Source organism: Homo sapiens, chromosome 13 (genome assembly GCF_000001405.40).
Source record: "Homo sapiens chromosome 13, GRCh38.p14 Primary Assembly".
NCBI classification, from domain to species: Eukaryota; Metazoa; Chordata; class Mammalia; order Primates; family Hominidae; genus Homo; species Homo sapiens.
The window spans coordinates 33927156-33947995 of record NC_000013.11 but is presented as its reverse complement, the minus strand read 5'-3'; the positions used below and the strand labels follow the sequence as shown (position 1 = coordinate 33947995).

Sequence of the window (20840 nt, the reverse complement as noted above, 5' to 3'; positions counted from 1 at the left end):
ATTTCTCCCAAGAAAATGGGGTTTTCTTTTCTATCACATCGCCAGGCTGCACATTTTCCAAACATTTATGCTCTGCTTCCTCTTGAATGCTTTGCCACTTAGAAATTTCTTCTGCTAGATACCCTAAATCATCCTTCTCAAGTTCAAAGTTCCACAGATCTCTAGGACAGGGCCAAAATGCCACCAGTGTCTTTGCTAAAGCATAGCACGAGTCACCTATGCTCCAGTTCCCAAGAGGTTCCTCATCACCTTTTGAGACCACCTCAGCCTGGACTTCATTGTCCATATCACTATCAGCATTTTGACCAAAGCCATTCAACAAGTCTCTAGGAAGTTCCAAACTTTCTCACATCTTCCTGTCTTCTGAGTCCTCCAAGCTAGGAAGTTCTGAACTTTCCTACATTTTCCTGTCTTCTTCTGAGCCTTCTAAACTGTTCCAATTTCTGCCTGTTGCCCAGTTCCAGAGTCGCTTCAACATTTTTGAGTATCATTATAGCAGCACCCCACTCTCAGTACCAATTTACTGTATTAGTCCATTCTCACGCTGCTATAAAGAACTGCTAGAGACTGGGTAATTTATAAAGAAAAGGGGTTTAATTGACTTATAGTTTCGCATGGCTGAGGAGGCCTCAGGAAACTTACAATCATGAGAGAAGGCACCTCTTCACAGGGCAGCAGGAGAATAAGTGCAAGCAGGGGAAAATGCCAGATGCTTATAAAACCATCAGATCTCATGAGACTCACTCATTATCATGAGAACAGCATAGGGGAAATCACCCCCATGGTCCAATTACCTCCACCTGGTCCTACCCTTGACACATTGACATTTGGGGATTATTACAATTCAAAGTGAGATTTGGGTGGGGACACAGAGCCAAACCATATCAACATGTATGTTGCATTATAAGCTTGATGGTATCCCAATTTTCAGATGAGGTCACTGGTGATGTTACTAAATGTGGTTTAAGACATCATAAAATGAACACATGTCATCATTTAGCAGATATGCATATCTTGATGAACGTATACTTTCCAAATAATCAGTGCATTTCCAAATGAAATCATGAACATGTAAAAGATCTGTACAAACTGCCAACAGATTTTATTATAGCTGCGTACAAAAAGCTCACCGACATGGTTTCAGATTTCACATTGCAACTAACCTTTAGGAAACTGCCACTTGTCAAGTTTTAGTATAGTCTCAAAGAATAATATCCATAATATCTATAAAGACTATTAAAATGATTCTCCCTTTTCCAACTACACATCTGTGAGGCCAGATTTTCTTCATACACTTCATCCGTAGCAACATATTTTATGAACTGCATGTGCAGTAGATTTGTTTATTAGGGTAATTATTAAAGAGATTTACAAAAATATAAAACTATGCCATTTTTCTCACAAAATATTTTCATTTTAGAAAAGTTATATGCTTAAAAGTATTTTATTTACGTTAACATGTAAAGGGTTTACTATTTTGTATTTAAATGAAATAATAAATGTATTTATCATTTTTAATTTATAATATGGAAATGTACAGATAGAAGCCACATTAACAAAAGCTCTTGGGAGTCCTCAATAACTTTTAAGAGTAAAAAGAGTTTCTGAAAGAAAAAAGTCTGGAAACTACTGCTGTATACCAATGTATACAGCAATCCCAGTAATCCCAGGGCACATTCCAATTAGACTGCCTGAGTCATGTGTCTTGACAATGGTTGAGCTGGTTTGGATCACAGGAACATTTATTTGATAACGATGGAAGGAAAAAACAGTGCTGTAATAAGTCGCTTCTTAAAATGTGGGGTGTTATTAAAAGAATAATGGGAAAGTGCTACTGGGAAGGCAAACACAGCAATTGTACTCTACAGACAGGGATTCTCCTATTGGCCATTTTAGAAACATTCCCCAGGCAACATGAGATTATCCAAGTGGAGAGAACCAGAGTCAGAGCCATTTCCTAGGCCGACAGAGCAGCGCTCCAGATGAGATACTGAAGGTTTGAACTCAAGTGATGGCAGTAAGATCAGAAAGCAAAAGGCATATCACAAAGAAACCATAAGATTCTCCATCTGGATATATAGAAGATAAATGGAAAGAGGAAACAAAGATGACTCCAAGATGTCCCGCCTTAGAAAGGGATACAAATGTGGTGTTTGCAGGTAGTAGGAAGAAGGTGCTGTTTAAAATAGTAAGTCAAGAATATACCATCTCATTAGGAGTGTTTGCCCTTTCTAAATTCATATCAGGTTCATCTGAGCGTGAACTAGTTGAAACCACATGGTGATTATCAGGCAGCGTATATCCCTAAAGGCATGTAGTGTTATCATTTGCCAATCTCTCTGCTTCCAAGAGAACAGATGGGGTCTGTGGGTCTGTATTTTAATATCACTTGAGAAATTAAAAACATCATAATGCCTCACTGACTCAACTTTAGGGTGAAGAGAGATGTACAGAGCCTCGTTACCCAGACAGGCCATTTTCAGTTCATTGAAGTTTCCTGGAGCTGTGGGCTCAGGCCAAGAACTCCACTTTGTGCTCCCAGAAGTTAATCCTCTCCTGTCAAGTTTGTTACTATTGTGTTTTTTTCTATATATATTTATCTTCCTTAATTTGCAAACTGTATCTAAGAATCAGAATCCCTCGTAAGGATATTTTGAAGTCTCATGAGTTAACATGTATGAAGTGCTAAGTACTATATGAATATGGAAAATCATAAGGACATAACCTTAACCCTAGGGCTCTATTTTTGTATCTTTCTTGCCAATGGTTTTCCCAATCACACTACAGAATTAGAATATAATGGTTAAAATGGAAATAATAGTATGAAAGAATATGAGGCAAAGGCCATAGAGATGAGCTGGGATCAGAAAGCAGGATGTTAATCAACAAGGCAGAGAAATGGGAGGAGTCTGATCCACAGGGCAAGAGCTGACAAGGCTAACAGATTAGCCGGGATCTGAGGAGGAAATAGGTCTCAGAAACTCAAGATGAGAGGAATAACAACAAAAACAAAAATGTGTTATGCCTGGGAGCCCTTTGGCTCTATGACAATGATTTTGATCTTTCTGAGATGCTGAGTTAAGTCTTCTGGTTGTTTCCAAGGGGTTAATCTGAAGTTTCTTGTACCAATCATGGACTGTTGCTGTTGCATTTGCCCCCACTGTTTCCTTGAATATCCAGGGCAATATCTTCTCATCTCTTGGCAAAAAGAAAGGAATATGTGGAAATTTGAGTGTGTGCGTGTGGGTGGGGCAATACAATTCCATTCTCAAGTGCTAACTTTAGTCGCAAAACTGAAGATTCCTGCACCTTGAACTCAAACAAAATGATTTAAATGTATTTTTAAATGGCTGATTACTGGTATTTTTCAAGGGTCAGTCTGTGACTTCACAAAATTCTTGTGTTGAAAGATTTTCATCCCGTGTTTAAAACAAGCAGAATAGAGGATGGTGATCGCAAATGAACCACATAACCAACAGTTTCTAGGGCTTAAACATATGTGTGACTAAATGGGTTCCACATCCTTGCATTCTTTCCTTCACCTAAAAGTAGATGCTCTCAGAGCATTATCAACAGCACACTCATCGTCATCACTCATTGATCAAAGATTTAAATTTCACACATATAATGAGCAGCGTTGGAAGGAATTGTTACTTAAATGGCATAGCTGCTCACTTTGTTCAATATTACAAATGTAGGGATTTGCAAAGGATGTGTTTTGGATTGAAATAAATTTAGCACTTTTAATTGCACAAGAAAAAGGATGTCACTTGTCACAGAAAGTAGAAGGGTAGTTTATATAGAGAGTTCATAACAACCAAATGAATAGAGGACACAAATACACAAAATACATGATCTTGAATGTCTGCAAACAAATTCCTATCAATCCTTTCTCAGGCTGCAGTGTATGAGAATGGATAACCCTGAGAAAGTAAGCAACAAAGTGCTTATGCTCTAGGGCCAAGCAGCTTGGAGTCAAATCTTACCCTCTACCAATACTGACTAGAAGCAGGTCAATTAATTTTGGGGGGCTTTGTAAAAGACATACCCTAAATTGACAGCCAATGACTCATGCCCTTGTATGTTTACCTCCCCTTGAAAGCTTGCTTCTGCCCAATAGAACCTGCGAATTTGCTTCTAACCAATACAATATGGTAAAAGTCAAGGGATTATTCAGATATCATTAAAGTTCTAATCAGTTGACTTTAATCAAAATAAGAGAATCTCCTTCTGGCCTCAAAAAAGAAGCAAGCCCCCCATGAGTTCTACAGATTCAAGAGAATAAATTCTGCCAACAGCCATGTGAACTTGGAAGAGGACTACAAGCCTAAGATGGAATTTCAGCCCCATCCAACATCTTTTATTTTTGACTGATACGTATTAATTGTACATATTTATAGGGTGCATGTGATATTTGAACACATGCACACAATACATAATGATCAAATCGTGGTAATTAGGATATCCTTCACCTCAAATATTCATCATGTCTTTGTGCTGGAAACATTCCTAATCTTCACTTCTAGACAGCTTTGTGAAACCTTGCAAAAACCATGTAGGTAGGGCATGCTCAGACTCCTGACCATGTAAATGTGAGATAGAAAATATGTATGATGTTTTAAGTCAGTAAGTTTGTGGTAATCTATTAAGCAGCAACAGAAAACTAGTACAGGCTTCTATTTCCTGTAGGCTAGAAATAAAAATAGTACATACCTTATGCCGTGTTATGAAGTTAAAAGAAGTTAACATATGTAATATGCTTAAAATAGAGACCCTAGGTCTATTTCTGAGGCAAGATGCCTCAGAAACTTGCAGAATCTAAGGCAGGGCTTATCCCTGCCCATCAATGAAAAATGAATGCTAAAGTAAATTATGAAATGTCATTAATAAACATACTAGTTCACATGCTATTTTTTGTTAAAGGCCTTGACTAAAATTATGGAAACAACCACATATTGACCTTGACAATCAAAATTATGAAATTCTCCAATGATTATTGATGGGAGCCACTCTGAAGGTGTTTCCTATGCCTCACTCCATTCACCAAGGCAGAAACAGCTCTGCTTTATGGCACCTTAGCAGTCAAGGTTTCATGTCATTGGAACAGGCCAACTGCTAAAGGTGGGCACCAGACTTCTCAAGATTTTCTCCAGGGAATTTAGAACCATTGGCATTCCAATTCAATCTACTCACTACATAAATTGACTACAAGTATACAGCTAACGTGATAAAAAAAAAATAAGATGTTAATTACCCTATCATTCAAATAGCAGGAGGATCTATGAATTAGTACCATGTACCCCAAAACAACAATAATGGTGCTGATATTTATTCTGCTCCTGTATTGTTTATAAACTTATTATGGTATAAAACTACAAGAGTTTAATCAGACATCACAGGAAGTCTGTAAAAAAGGGTGAAACAATTAAGAAGAGTATGTGAAATATGGATGAGCCCACTGCCATTGATGTTGAAACTCTAAGTGCATAATGTACCTTAGCATTAAATTAAAAAGTATGGAATGTTCCTAACACAAAGAAATGATAAAGGCTTGAGGCAATGGATACCCCAATTACCCTGATTTGATTATTATACATTGTATGCCTGTATCAAAGCATCGCATGTACCCCGTAAATATAGACAACCATTATGTACTCGTAAGAATTAAAAATAAAAATTAATAAAATAAAATAATACCTTCAGTCTTCAGGCCATTAGTCATTATTGTTGCTAATATTAGTTACTAAAAAACAAAAATAAAAGGCAAAAAAATTACAATGCATACCAAGAAGCATTATTAAGAATATAAAATAGGATACAGAAACAAACCAACAAGTGATGCAGGCATTAGATTTATCAAACACACACTTTAAAACAGCTATAATTAATGTACAAAAAAAGATAAGAGAATTTTAGAGAAAAAGTAGACAATATTTTAAAAATCAAATAGAAATTTTATCTAAAATTGACAATTCAACAGATCATTAGATTGGGCTCCCCTGAACAAATGATATTACTGAACAGGAAGATAGAAAATATGCAAATTAAAGGATAAAAACATTTTAAAATGTATAAAACAACATAAGTTATGTATGGGAGATATTTAAAAATTCTAAAATACACATGATCAGTGTCCTCAATTGATAACACAAAGAATGAGGTGGAAGCAATATTGAAGAGATGTTTGCCTATAATCTTCAAAATCGGATGGAGGCTCTCAACCCATACATTCAAGAAGTTTCATAAACACTAAGAAGAAAAAAAAAACCTTAAATCTACACTTAGTCACATAATTGCAAACTGTTAAACACCAAAGATAGAAAAATCTTAAAGATAGCCAAAGAAAACAGGCAGCTTCGAAGAAAGAAAACAAGATTGGGCTGGTTTATTGACAGAAACAATGGCAGTTAAAAGACAATAAAAGTATATATTTATGGTGCCAAAAACAAAGTGCCAAACTAGAATAATATAGCAATTGAAAATAACCTTCAGAAACAAAGGTAAAATGAATATGCTGCAGACAAATACAAATTAAGAAAATTCACCACCATCAGACTTTCCTAAAATAATTACTAAAGGAAATTCCTTAGGCTAAAGGAGAATATTCCTAAACAGAAACACAAAATGCAAGAAGGAATAAAGGGTGGCAGTGTTGTAGAAAAAACCAGGTTCTTGTCATATGACCAGAAAGGATTAGGTGCGCAGACACATTGAAGGGTGATTAGAGAGGAATGTATTGGGCAAAAAGGAAAAAAAAAAAATCTCTCAGGAAAGTGAGACGGAGTCCTGCTAACAGGCCCGCCTCCTCACAGACTGATTCCCAGGTTACTACCCCTGCTGAAGAGAACAGCCTCCTCCCCTGCTTAAGGCAGGAATTCCCCATAGCTCCATCCACTTCCCTCAGTACGCATGTCCAGCTCCCATCCACTGTGGGCATGCCCTGACAAAACCCTGGGCAGGTTTCCTCATCTGCACAAAAGCATCTGATGTAAACACTTGTGGGTTGGGTCGGAGATTCTCTGGGGACCCATTTTTATCTGCCCAGGCATTTGGCTGTCTCAGCAGAAAGTTGTAAATATGTGGATAAATATAAATTAAAGTTGGCTATACAAAACAATAATAGTAACGTGCTACAGAGTTCATAACGTAATAAAAATATATGATGGCAATAATGTGAGAGGCAGAATGTAGATGAATGGGGTTAAACTATTGTAAGGTTTCTAAACTATTATAAGGTTTCTAAACTATTGTAAGGTTTCAGCATGATCAGAGAATTGATGAAAGTAATTTTATTAGACTACGGTAAGTCAGGGTAAGCATTAAATAACAATAAAATAAGATATGACAGACAAGGTAATAGAAATTGAAATAAAAACATAAAAATATTTGATGACTTCAACAGAAACATTATAGTAAGATAATGGCTATGACAACAGCATGATGAACATACTTGACACACTTGGTATATACAGACTACTATGCACATCAACTGGAGAATATGCATGCTTTTCACACGCACATGTAACATTTACCAAAATTAGCAACATGCTGGGCTATAAAGCAAATTTTTGAAGAACCAAAACTATCCAGAGAATATTCTCTGATGAAATCATCCCCATGTGTCTGGCAATGAGGCAACATAATCTTAAATTGTTCCATGGATCAAGAATAAGTTGCAATGAAAAAACAAATAATTTTTGAACCTGATAGTAAATATCAGATATAATAAAATTTGTGGAGGGCAGTTGAAGTCATACTTAGAAAAAAAATTATAACATTTGATTAACATATTAAAACAGAAGAAAGGTTCAAAATTAATGATGTAAGAATTCAATTTAGGAATTTAGATAAAAATTCAACAAATTAACTCTCCCCCATAATAAAAAGTAAGGCAGTAGGAAGAAAACAATAAATTAGGAATAAAAATTAATGGAATAAAATCCAGTTATTCAATACAGAAAATCAGTAACATGAAAGTTTTTTATCAAAGTATTAATAAAATGGATAAACTTTTACGAAGATGGATCAGAAAAAAATAGAGTGAACATAAATTGCTGATAACAGAAATATACAAAAGAAGCACCCTCTCAGATCTTACAAATATTAAAAAGACAAGAGAAAATTATGACAATTTGGTTCTCTGGGGTGTTTTCTCTGACACCAACAACCTATTCTCTGATTCTCTAGATACTAGCTGGGTGTCCAAAACTTCAATCCAATTCTGACACTATCTACCCAGAGTTAGTACAGACTCCATAAAGTAAGGAGCTCGACAGGACAAGACTGTTCCCGCTTCCGACACCAGTTTCAAGCCCTGAGCCACCTGTACTTCTGATGAATCAGCTGTAAAGCAAGTGTTTCCACCACCCCTCCTCGGGTTTAATACTTTGCTAGAGCTGCTCACAGAACTTACTTATTTACACTTTTAAACTTACATTTACTGGTTTATTATAAAGGATACAATGCAGGAAGAACCAAATGGAAGCAATGCACATGGCAAGATACAGAGCGAGGGAGTCACACAGAGAGAGCCTCCTTACCCTCTTGGGTGCACCACCTTCCGAGCACCTTGGTGTGTTCACCCACCTGGAAGCTCTCTGAGCCTCACTGTCAAGAGTTTTTACTGAGCCCAATCTCCAGCTCCCTCCCCTCCACTCTTCCCAGAGGGTGGTGGAAGGGCCTGAAAGTTCCAACTCTCATGTCAACTTGGTCTTTCTACCTTGAGTCATCTCATTAGCACAGACTCAGGTGGGATGGATAAATTGGACTATATTTAAATTAAAAATATTTGTTCATCAAAATATGTGATTAACCAAGTGAAAAAACAAGCCACAAAATATATATTCATATATTTTAAAACTACAAATTAATATTATAATGGTAAAATCCCTACAGAAAAATAGGCAAAACACCTTAGCATGCCCTTCATGTTGAGGATCTACAGAATCAATACATACATGAGAAGATGCTCAATTTTATTAATCATCATTATAATTAGCATATCAAAACCATTAATATGATACCACTACACACACACCAGAGTGGTTAAAAAGAAACTAACTGAAAAATCCCAATTGTTGGCAAAAACCTGAAAGATTGAAGAGCTTATTACACTGCCAGTTGGAGTGTAAATTTGTATAATCACTTTGGAAAACTGTTTTGTTGTAGCTACCAGAGTTGAACACATGCATCCCCAATGACCCAGCTTTCCACTCTTCAGAAGCACTCAACAGAAATGCATACATTTGTCCACCAAAGGATATGTACAAAAATGTTGATAGTAGCACTGATTGTAATAGCAAAAAAAAACTGAAATGTAGTGAATTGTGATATATTCATACAATGGCATACTATTTAGCAATGAGAATGAAGAAATCACAAATATATGACACAATGTTGAGAAAAACAGAAGCAAAATAGTACATACTGTATGATTCCACTTGTATAAGTTTCCAAAACAGACCAAATAAATGGATTTTTAACACCATAGTGTTAAAAATCAGAATGGTGGTTATCCCTGGGAAATGATGATATGCTTCTTAATCTGTTGCTTCTTCATGGTTTTTACTTTGTGAAAAATTATCCGGTTGATTATTATGATTTTTATACTTTTCTGAATGTGTGTCAAACTCCAATAAAAAGTTAAAAAATATATTTATGATTTTTAAAAACGGGATAGAGCATATTTCCTTGAGGAAGTGAAGAATATGCCAACATAGTTAATTTGCAAACTTGCAATTACTTTATATTTCATTGCTTTGAAGTCATTTTCATTTTCAACTCTTACTTTTTTTTTTTTTTTTTTTTTTTTGCAGTTGGACTTTATCTTGAGCTGTGGCTGTGAAAATGCCAGATCCTAGCTACTAGAATATTCCTTAGGACATTTGCAAACATCCTTGGACTTAGTGGGAGGGATTTGAGGGAGAGGAGAAATACATCTAAACTAAGTCAGGTAACAGAAACTGCAGTTCAGCCCATGGCGTGCTTCTCTTCCTGATTGATCTTCTGGATAAGCAAGCACAATGGGGCATTGTCTTGTGACCAAGGGCAGAAAGCTGCCACCCCTCTGACTGTACAGAGAGCTGAGACACTAGGAGAGCCAGATACTCCACAGGCACCCCACAAATGTTAATGGCTAGTGGTTTGGAAAACAATGATAAGGGCTACCTGCCCTGAGGAGCACATTAGAGGAAGAAATTTCATTGCTCTCAGGCAGCCACTTAGCATTTTTCAAGTAGCAAAGTTAATCTAAAATACAATTTCAGTTAGATTAATTTTAGATAAGGAGTCCGGCTACACCTTTTCAAAACTCATTTCTAAGTTATGTGATTATCTTCTGTGTATTTCTAATCTGTGTTTCTATGCGCATGCTACATGGTAATTGTGCACAGGAGCAAAAAAGTACAGGAAAAGCACAGACCAAGAGTCAAAAGACAGAGGCTTTAGTCTCAGACTTGCCACATGCTAGCTAGGTGACCTCAAGCAATTAATTCATTTGACCTTTCTAGGCCTCAGTAATTCATTGGTAATATAAGAGGTCTCAACTACACAATTTTTTAAAAAATTGTATATATAAGTCATGCATCTCTTAATGACAGAGATACATTCTGAGAAATGCAATATTAGGCTATTTCATCATTTTACAAACATTGTAGAGTGTACTTACATAAACCTAGATGGTATAGCTTACTACACACCTAACCTTTTGCTCCTAGGCTACAAGCCTGTACAGCATGTCACTGTACTGAATGTTATCGGCAATTGTAACAGAATGGTAAGTATTTGTATATCTAAACATATCTGAACATAGAAAAGGTAAGGTGAACATATGGTATTGTAATCTTATGGGGCGACTCTCACATATCTGATCCCTCGCGTATCTGAAACATTACATGGTACATGACTGTATTTAAGATGTACAACCTGATGATTTAGTATACATATACACCATGAAGTTATCATCACAATCAAGATAATTAACATAGTCATCACATAGTTTTGCTGCTGCTCTTGATTTTTTGTGGTGAGAACATTTAGGATCTATCTCTTAGGAAATTTTAAGTATACAGTACAGTAGTGTTTCCTATGTCAATTATACAATTTCTAGGGTTTCTTCTAGTACTAATATTTTCTGTTAACCAAACCTCCAATCCTCTAGCACCTGTATTCATTCTTTATGGGTGCCATAACTGTACCAGAAATTGAATGGCTCACAATAACTGAAGTTTACTGCCTCACAGTTCTGAAGGAAGTCCGAGATCAAGATGTCGGCAGGATTGCTTCCTTTTAAGGACTTTGAGGGGAAATCTGTTCCAGGGCTCTCTCCTGGCTTCTGGTAATTTGCTAGCAATCTTTTATATTCTTTGGGGCTTGCAGATGCATCACCCCAGTCTCTGCTTTTATCCTCACGTGCTGTTTTCCCTGTGTGTGCTTCCAACTCTATGGACAAATTTTCCCCTTTTTTCAGTCATATTGGATTAGGTCCTATCCTAATAGCCTCACCTTAACTAATTTCATCTTCAAGGACCTTATTTCCAGATAAAGTCACATTCACAGGTACTGGGGTTTGCAACTTTTATGTATTTTGGGGGGTACAAAATTCAACCCATAATAGCATCCATGGTTATAACTAAATAGTAATTTAGTCTAGGAAAATTACTCCATACAAATCCACCCCTAGGATCTCCTCTAAGTCCAATCTAGGGGTTAACGGTCTTGTCTCCCAAAGCCACTGTGCCCACCTGATAGTAACCCTCACCTGCCACCTGGGTTACCTGTTATTATGATCTGCCCAGTGATTACACTTCCCAGATTTCATAATAATGACCACCTGTGGCTTCCACACCTTGGGGGCAGTATGCATAAGACCAAGGCTTTCTGCTTCTTCCTGCCTCCTTCACCTGCAGTCACCCCAACCCGTCATCCCATACAAGTGCACACACTGCACCTGTCATACCATCGCTCTCATAAGGGGAAGATGAGACCAGCTCAGTGGACCCGGAGCCATACATAGCTCCCAGCATGTCATTCAGGGGACCTGCCCATGCTGTTCATGCAGCAGCTTGAGCTGTGAAACAACACTTTAGGCCCAGCACATTTTCCCCTACCAGGTCATTCTAACATAATTATGTAGATTCAGCCATAGATTTAAGTTTTGTCAAGTATTCTTAAGACATTGTTGATTGGTTGGTTTTTTTGTTTGTTCCTAACAGACCAGGTGAAATGCTAATGCTGTGTCCTCTTCCCACAAAGTCAATCAGAACATGCTCATGAGTGACAGGATGAGCAAAGGAACAAAAGTTTCAGAAACAAACCAAACAAGGTTTTATATTACCTCTTTTTTATTTAAAGGTGAATTATGGTGAAAATCTAAGTTCTCTCATCTTACAACCTTCCACAAATTAGGATCAATGGAAAGTGCTGCTACCAGCAATTATGTGAACCACTACAGACAGTAAGTTGATTATGAAAGAAAAAAAGCCTAATTTTTAATTAGAAAGAAAACTTCAATTGTGCCCAACACTTGTACTCACAAGTCAGACATGAAATGACTTCAGATCAGCAGCTATTTAATTTCATCCAATCTCTAGCAAGCAGCTTGGGATATTATTTGCAAGTACAACTTTTTTGCATTATGGAATGAGAGAGCTCTAATTTCTCAAAGAACAAACATGATATATTTTTGGCATCATTTCAATGTCAAAGAGACTTTTGGGAATAACTAGGAAGTTGATGGCATTTTTACATTTTCCAGTTACATTTCTAAAACCTCAGTTGTTTCCTCATAATCATTTCCAGAATCTCAATGGAAAGTTTATTTAAAACATTGTCCCTGCCCCCTTGACATTTGAAAAAAAAAATCTCAAGGCAGAAAATAATATATTATAACATTTCAAAGGAAAAATTGACATATTTTTGGACCTTGACATGATCCAGTTATCTGGTAACCAAATAAGACTTTCCAAACAAGGAAGTCAGCCAAAATATCCATAATGTAGAGTTTCAGGCAGTCTTCATGACAGGTTCAGCAGGGTGCATCACAATGTGAGCAGACCATCAGGAATGGGGGGATTCGGCCATCCAGGCTGATGGTTCCCATCATGAGAGCACTGGATATAGGACATGGGGCTTGGGCTGCAGTCAAAGGTTCCCAGGCTCAGAAGAGACGCTTATAGGAGAAAGGGAATACCTTGCATTTAGAAAGAAAAAAGTAGTAGGGAGATTACCAAAGACAGATGCTTGGCATAGGAAAACAAAACAAAACAAAAACCAGATAGACCCAATGACAGAAAATGAAACACAAAATCAGGGCTAGGCAAGAGGCAAGACTGGTGGCTGCCGAGTCCAGGTGGGGTCAGCATTGACCATAAAGACCAAGGTTATAGTAATAAGCAACTGGGAATCTGGGACACCAGCTATAGAAAGAAGAGACTCCCAGGCTGGGCTGTCAGAGGATCTGGTAGTAACTGATTCGGACATCCAGGGAAACAAGATAGGAACCCAAGCCAAGACACACAGTCATCTCAGAGCTTGGAAAGCCCTCTAAGCATTTCTCTTTTTAGTTCCAGTTGCAGTTGCTTCCTTCTCCCTCTTACTGTCTCATCATGTGCCCTTATCACCTTCCTTCTATCAATTATTGTTTTTTGTTTTTGTTTTCATTTTTGAGACAGGGTCTCACTTTGTCACCCAGGCTGGAGTGCAGTGGCACAATCTCATCTCACTGCAGACTCAACCTCCAAGAATCAAGCCATCCTCCCACCTCAGACTCCCAAGTAGCTGGAACTGTAAGTGCTCACCATTGCACCCAGATTTTTTTTTTTTCTTTTAGTAGAGATGAAGTCTTGCTATGTTGCCCAGGCTGACATACTCCTGAGCTCAAGCTCAAACTCCTGAGCTCACGCCATCCTCCTACATGCTCTTTTCTTTGTCCTTTGGCTCTATTATTAAACATTTAATTTCTCTTTCCTTTCTTTCATTTCCCTTTTTTTCCCCACCACCTTCTCCTCTCTCCTCTAGTTTCCCTGCAGTCTCTGTCTGCCAGTCTCGCCCTCCCCCATACCATTCATCTCCCTCCCCCAATCCTGCAGTCTCCTGTTACTCTCACATTAAATTACATATTTCTCTTAATTTAACGTAGTTAGCCAATGAAACTTTAAAACCCCAAATTTTAACTTTAAAAGAATATCTTTAGTTGTTTATATTTCTCTCTCTTAATAAAAATATAAATGCAAACAAATTATTTTCCTTTTACATGACTTGGGATTTTTTTTTTCCAAGCCGGTCAGTGATCCTTAATAGGAGAGGGGAAAAAAAGTTTCTCCCTTCTTATTTTCAATTTCACAGGTCATCATTTGAAAATGCATCACTAACAATGAAATACTTTGTACATTATTAAATTTTATCATCTCGATTTATTATCTTTGTTACACGGAGACAGAGAAGATGAGAATCTAACCTACTATTATAAATGGTAACAATTATATTCACCTAAGCTAGGGTTTCTTAAAACATCACAGTTAAAGGAAATGAGCATCTAACCCAATCATAGCAGTGGCTATAGAACCCATGATAACAAAAAACAATCACTAAGCCAATAATAAGTTCTTGGGATAAATTGTTTCCACAGCACTGACCAGCAGTTCATTTTAACACAATAGGAGCTCATTCCCAAACAATGTAGGACAGGTAAAATGTGGTTATTGCACATTCTTTGTTCACCCAGATCTCTATGTGTTTTCTGACCTCTAATACTAAAATTGCAACTGAGGTCCATATTCTGCATCATCAGCTCGGCATTAGCAAGCAGGAAAAGAAAAAAGAAAGACGACCACAGATCTGAAGAATGTATTGTTTGCCATAAGCATTTGCATCAATGAGGCTGAGCAGCTGTCTCAAAGCTCTTATGATATCACCATCTGTAACTCAAAGGGAAAAACCAGTATCTCAGATTTTTCAAAGGGTAAAGGGGGTATAATTGTATTTATTAGGTGTTCAAAAGCTTTGACAAGAGTGGCCTGTCAGATGTTATCAGCATGTGCCAGTTGGCATGCAGATTATGGACATATTGTCCATTTAGGCTGTCAGCCTACAAGTCTCAACCAATGTTTGCAAACATGTACAGCAAAAGCCAGTCGTTGTTGTCACAATGTCAGGAATATTGCTCAGAGACTGATGTCCTCACTGTTTAAAACTTATATGGCAATATACTTTGCAAGAGAAACAGACATTTCAAGAAAAAATACATAGACTAGCATTGGATGTGGTTTATGCATGTGGACCATGCATTATTTTACATGACTATCTTGATAACATAAAAATTTTCCTACTGTTTTTGCTTTAGAGTAATTCTTTCTCTGTACTTTCCCTTCTCTGTTTGATAACCTCAAGCCTCATTCCTTCCTTGTGGGCCCAGTTCTACAGTTTCATGGAATTTCTCATATTGCTGATAAAAAGCATTCCAAAAAATTCAGCAGACTAACACATTTTAGTACTTGCATGTTATTTTATAATACAGAGATATGAAAGAAGATCCCAATAAATAAAGGCATACAAAAATGGTTTGGGAGGGAAAACTGTTTTATAAAAGATATCAATTCTTCCCAAAATATACTGCAAGACAATTCCAATGAAAGTCACAAAGAGTTTTCTTCCCCTTTTTGAATTTCTGAAAAAATTATTCCAAGGTATATTAAGAAGAATAAATAGACAAAAATTACTAACTTTTTTAATGGCATTAAGGAATAATTTCTCTACAGCAGATTAAAATGTGTTCTTTAGCTACGACAATTAAAACTAATGTGATGCTTGAGCTAGAATAGACAGATGAACAATGGAACAGACTATTGAGATGGTAAATTTCATGCTGGCAGAGTCCACATGTGTTTTATTCATGACTGTTTCATTCATACTGATATCTCTGCAGTGCTTGGAACATAGTAAGCATTTGTAGAATTAATGAACTAGCACAACAAAGGCAATATAAATAGTCTCAGAATACAAACACACACACACAACATACGAGAAAGATTCCACCATCAGTGAATGAAAAACAAATGTATATTCAAAAAGTATGGAGAAAATTGTCACTTAGGAAAATAATATGCTGTTTTAATCATCACCTCACAGAATACATGAACAGAATTTGACTTTATAATGAAGGTGTTAAAAAGAATTCATTAAAAAAAGCAAACGTAGGTGACTATAAATTTGATCTTTAGATTGCAGGTAGGAGACTCTTAGAGGAAAGGGAGGAGGACTTTCCATGTTTAAAAGTAACATCAGATATCACAAAGGAAAATGTATTTCCACTACCAGACTTCAGGGCCTCTGTATGGTCATGTACCTTATACACAACTTCTAAGGCAGTCATTCACAAGGAAATGGCACCCCCTGGAGGTAACATTATATCTTTGTTGGACCCCCACACTGTGACAGTAATTTTGGTCTCCTGTTCGCAAGATTTTAGAATTTACACATCTCATGATATGAGTCTACACCATGGAAAAAGGTAATATCTTGTCTCACACTCAGCCCCCAGATGGCTTAGATCAGTGGTCTCAAGGTGTTGTCCCCAGACCAAAAGCATCAGCATCACGGTATCCACACCAGACCTATACAGAAACAAAAACTCCAGGGTGGGGACCCGCTCCTGTGTTTAACAGCCCCTCTAGGCAATGCTGTTGTGTGCTAAAGTCTGAGAACCACTGGTTTAGATGAAACGAACTACCATCCACATTACAACTAAATCCATGACTTCTTGGTTCAACTGTACTTTCATTGCCATCGTGAGCAGCATGTAACATCAGCTCTTGAAAATTCTATTTTGATCTGGATATTCTCACTATGTTGCTTTCTGGGAAATTTTCTACAATTCAATATGTCCAAGATCCAGGATCCATAAATCAAAGGTGAGAACATTAATAGCATCTAAGTCCTACATATCATGTAAAGACACATTGAAACACTTCAACTCTAAATTTGCCCCAATCATAAGCTGTCACTAAAAAAAACTCTAAGAAAAAGGGAGAGAATGTAATATATCACCTAGATGCCTTAGAAATATATTAAGAAATGATAGATTATACCAAATGATGGTGACCATTTTCCAAAAGAACTAAAGGAAGAGAGAAAGGCAGGGATCATACTGATTATAACAAGCTTGAGGTTTATCTATCCCTAAATTTTGCCCCAAGCTGTTCATTTTATCACCATTAGTACGTTACATCGATACATATAATTAGTAAGAAAACTTCCAGATCATCAACAGGAAAGTGTTTGAAGGTCAGGAGTTGACAATTCACAGAAGAGGAGATTAAAAGAGCTATGTGATGGTTAATACTGAGTGTCAACTTGATTGGATTGAAGGATGCAAAGTATTATTCCTGGGTGTGTCCGCGAGGGTGTTGCCAAAGGAGATTAACATTTGAGTCAGTGGACTCAGAGAGACAGACCCATCCTCAATCTGGGTGGGCACCATCTAATCAGCTGCCAGCCTGGCTAGTATAAAGCAGGCAGAAGAAGTTGGAGAGAGCAGAATTGCTGAGTCTTCCAGCCTCCATCTTTCTCCTGTGCTAGATGCTCCTTGCCCTCAAATATCAGACTTTAGGTTCTTCAGCATTTGGACTCTTGGAGTCACACCAGTGGTTTCTGAGGGGCTTTCAGGCCTTTGGCCACAGACTGAAGGCTGCACTGTCAGCTTCCCTACTTTTGAGGTTTTGGGACTTCAACTGGCTTCCTTGCTCCTCAACTTGCAGACGGCCTATTGCGGGACTTCACCTTGTGATCATGTGAGTCAATACTCCTTAATAAGCTCCCCTTCATATATACATCTATCTTATTAGTTCTGTTCCTCTAGAGAACCCTAATACAAGCTGATAGATGAATTAGCTAATAGATGAAAGAATTAAGTCTCTTTAGTAATAAAAGAAAAATAAAGCTATACAATTCAGTATTTATTAAATAGTCAGAGATTAGGAAAAACAGTAACACTCAATGCTAAAAATATAAGTATCAAATTATCACAAATATTCAAAAGGAAAGTTGGCAAGCTACATTAAGAACTTTAAAATGCTTAATCTTTCTGACTCGAGAATTTATTCCGGGTCTCTGTTCTAAAGAGATGAACAGAAATACACACAAAGATTCATAAAAATGTTTACCTTAACTTTATTTCTAATAGCATAAATTGGAAATAATCCAATTGTCAAATTATAATAATATAGGGGAAAGTTCAGAAAATTACTTATGAAAATGCAGAATATTGAATTGAAAATATATTATGAGTTCAACTGTATAAAATATAATAAACATGCATCTACCAAAATGTTAGCACTGTTCATTTATAGAGAAAATTATAGGTAAGTTTAAAATTTTTCCATATTTCAAAATATTTTGTAATGAATTAAAATGACATGACATTTACCAGAAAAAGAAATTCCTAAGGACATTACATGAATATCACATTTGAAATATTTGGGAGCTATATGAAGTTGTATGATCTTTCTTAATATCTATAAATCTCAATAACCTTTAGTAAGCTTTATCAACACAATTATTCCATTAAATTTAGTGTTAATTAAATCTCTATAAAGAAAGTATAGTTTTTCCATTGACTTGCAATATGAAGTCAGCGATGTATTTAGATGGCAAAACTCTTCTATTACCTACAATTAAATTTTTTTAAAGCCCACAAGTGTACTGGCTGTGGTTGGAAAAGAAGATACATCAACTACTCTGGCAATATTCTGTGAGCCATGATAGCAATGTCTTCTTCTCTTGCCACCTCATCAACTCTCTAGGATAATTTCCTCATGACTGGGAATGTCTGTCAGACTTCCTTTACCTTTCGTGGTAAATTTACAGTATCAAAAAGGTAAAAGGTAGTAACATATTTTACGAACAACTAGGTAGCCCTCCTTTAAATCCTTTTAATCTATGGTTTCAAATAAAATCTGGAAAAAAAAGAAAAAAATTATTTGTCCATTTTAGAATGGGCAAAGGCCAAATAGATTTTGAAACTTTTTGGCATAATACTGTAGAAAAAAATTGTTTTAAATGGAATCCCAGATCAGGGCCAAAGGTGGGCATATTCTTCTACAAAGAATCCCAATTCTATTTTCTAGGGCAACTAACCCATTTCAGATAGTTTTCACTTCCCCCCCCAGACATTGGTTCTCTTCATTCAAACGCAGTATTTGCTGTAACAGACATATACCTGCCTAGTTCACTGAATGGCGTGCAACTGATCAACACTGTACAGGTTTAAACACAGGCAAGCTGCTATTGGACTTGTATTAAGTATGTGGATAAGATGTAAAGCAAACACCAGAGAAAGTATATTCAGTAATCTAGCACACATCCACCTATGCAGCCTCTTCTAAAGTTAGAGTTGGGAAGAGGCAAGGTGAGCTGATCAATGTAATAAGGCACGGTGAACACCTTTAATTTAACAAGCAGCATATTTAACTCACCTCAACATGCCCAATTTGTGTATACCCGTGAATATCAAGCTCAGAGCATGGTATTTCCTCCGAGTGAACTCTCTCTAAGCCTCTGACTTCTGGTTTATGAGAGGTGAGCAATCCTGCCATCACTATACAACTTGATTGGAAAATTTAGGACTCACATTTGTAGCAGGTATCAACCTTTACAACCATGGATATAACTGCGTAAATACATAAGTGTATGTCCCTATTTTTGCGTAGTACTTGCATCTCAAGTTGTCATTTCTGCTACTGAGTCACTTTCATGATTGACTCAGTCTTTCTTGGATACCTACTCAATCTTGTCTCCTCACCCCTTTCCTGAGAGAAGTGGTTGGGAATACTAGGTAAGCCCACGATCCTGACACTGCCTGCATTCAAATACCAGCAGTCACTTCACTGCGGTGGAAATTTGAACAAATTATTTTACTTCTCTTTCTTCAGATTCACCCTCTGTCAAATGGAGATGATAATAATTGTCACCCACCTTACAGGGCTGTTTGGAAGACTAAATGAGTTATTAGATGTTAACAGTGCCTTGCCCATGGTAGATGTTATGAGAATGTTAGCTGCTATTCTTACTGCTGAATTAAGTCCCTAGAGCTTCTATTCTACTGTCATATTGGTCTTTCTCATCTGAAACTCCTCCTTGGTATTATAGGGCCACCCACTGCTGATGTAAATCAACCTATTTCTCACTCAGTGGCCTTTGTTCCAGGCAGGACCACAGAAGTCACCCACACACCAGGCCTCTCCAGTTCCATAGCTCACCCTCAGCCCCTTCTGAATTTACAAGAGTTGCAGCTGTGAAAGTTGTCAGAATCAAAATAGAGTCACTCGTGTCAAACTCTGGCAAAATGGAGCCAGGGCCATGATGGGAGGGCTCTCACACAGGGCTGGCCCAATAACAAAAACTGCTACAAGAAACTTTTCCAAGCCTTAATTGCTACATGAGTCACACATGGACAACAGCACAAGGAGAGTTGGCCTCTTAAACAAAAACACTCACCAGATCCACTGTTGTGCAAGCCCCTTCCAAGAAAACAGCCTGCTGTGACTTTAAGATGACAAGTTTTACCTAGCAATGCCACCACTCACCAATCAGAGCTCACCAGCTCCTGGAAGACATCACCAGAACCAATGAATTTTCTTTCAAAACAACTTGCATAACCCCCTCTTTCCCCCAATAAAACCCTAACTTTCCCTTTGGTCTTAGGACTTATGAGAGGCCATCCAGGTCTGGGCATGTGCCCCAAATTGCAAATCTTTTTTTTTTTTTTAACTGCTTTAAAAAGCCTTTATTATTTTTCATTACCAAGCAATGTGAACATCAGGTGCCCTCTTATTTTATTCCTGAGA

General features: G+C 37.1%; 1 protein-coding gene across 11 annotated transcripts in view, besides 1 other annotated feature; it reads right to left on the bottom strand.

The window, feature by feature from the left end:
• Positions 1-20840, bottom strand: part of RFC3 (replication factor C subunit 3) — a 159229-nt gene that overhangs the window by 29382 nt on the left and 109007 nt on the right. For 3 of the 11 annotated variants that reach the window (XM_017020680.3, XM_047430489.1, XM_047430490.1), the window contains one exon: positions 1-20840. This exon is cut by the window's left edge and continues 15901 nt beyond it; it is cut by the window's right edge. The exons of 5 other annotated variants lie outside the window; for them this stretch is intronic. Coding sequence is in view for 2 of the 6 variants with exons in the window: in XM_017020682.3 (XP_016876171.1) it covers positions 5741-5743 (3 nt within the window). In the remaining 4 variants the exon portion in view is untranslated. 3 more of the 11 variants (XM_017020682.3, XR_007063695.1, XM_047430492.1) reach the window with 3 other exon arrangements.
• Positions 6711-7210: an enhancer, noted in NCBI's record as "H3K27ac hESC enhancer chr13:34514923-34515422 (GRCh37/hg19 assembly coordinates)". NCBI's record gives its function as "activates a minimal SCP1, AML or CMV promoter by ChIP-STARR-seq in naive H9 embryonic stem cells {active_cell/tissue: H9 hESC(naive)}" and the evidence as "EXISTENCE:reporter gene assay evidence [ECO:0000049][PMID:30033119]".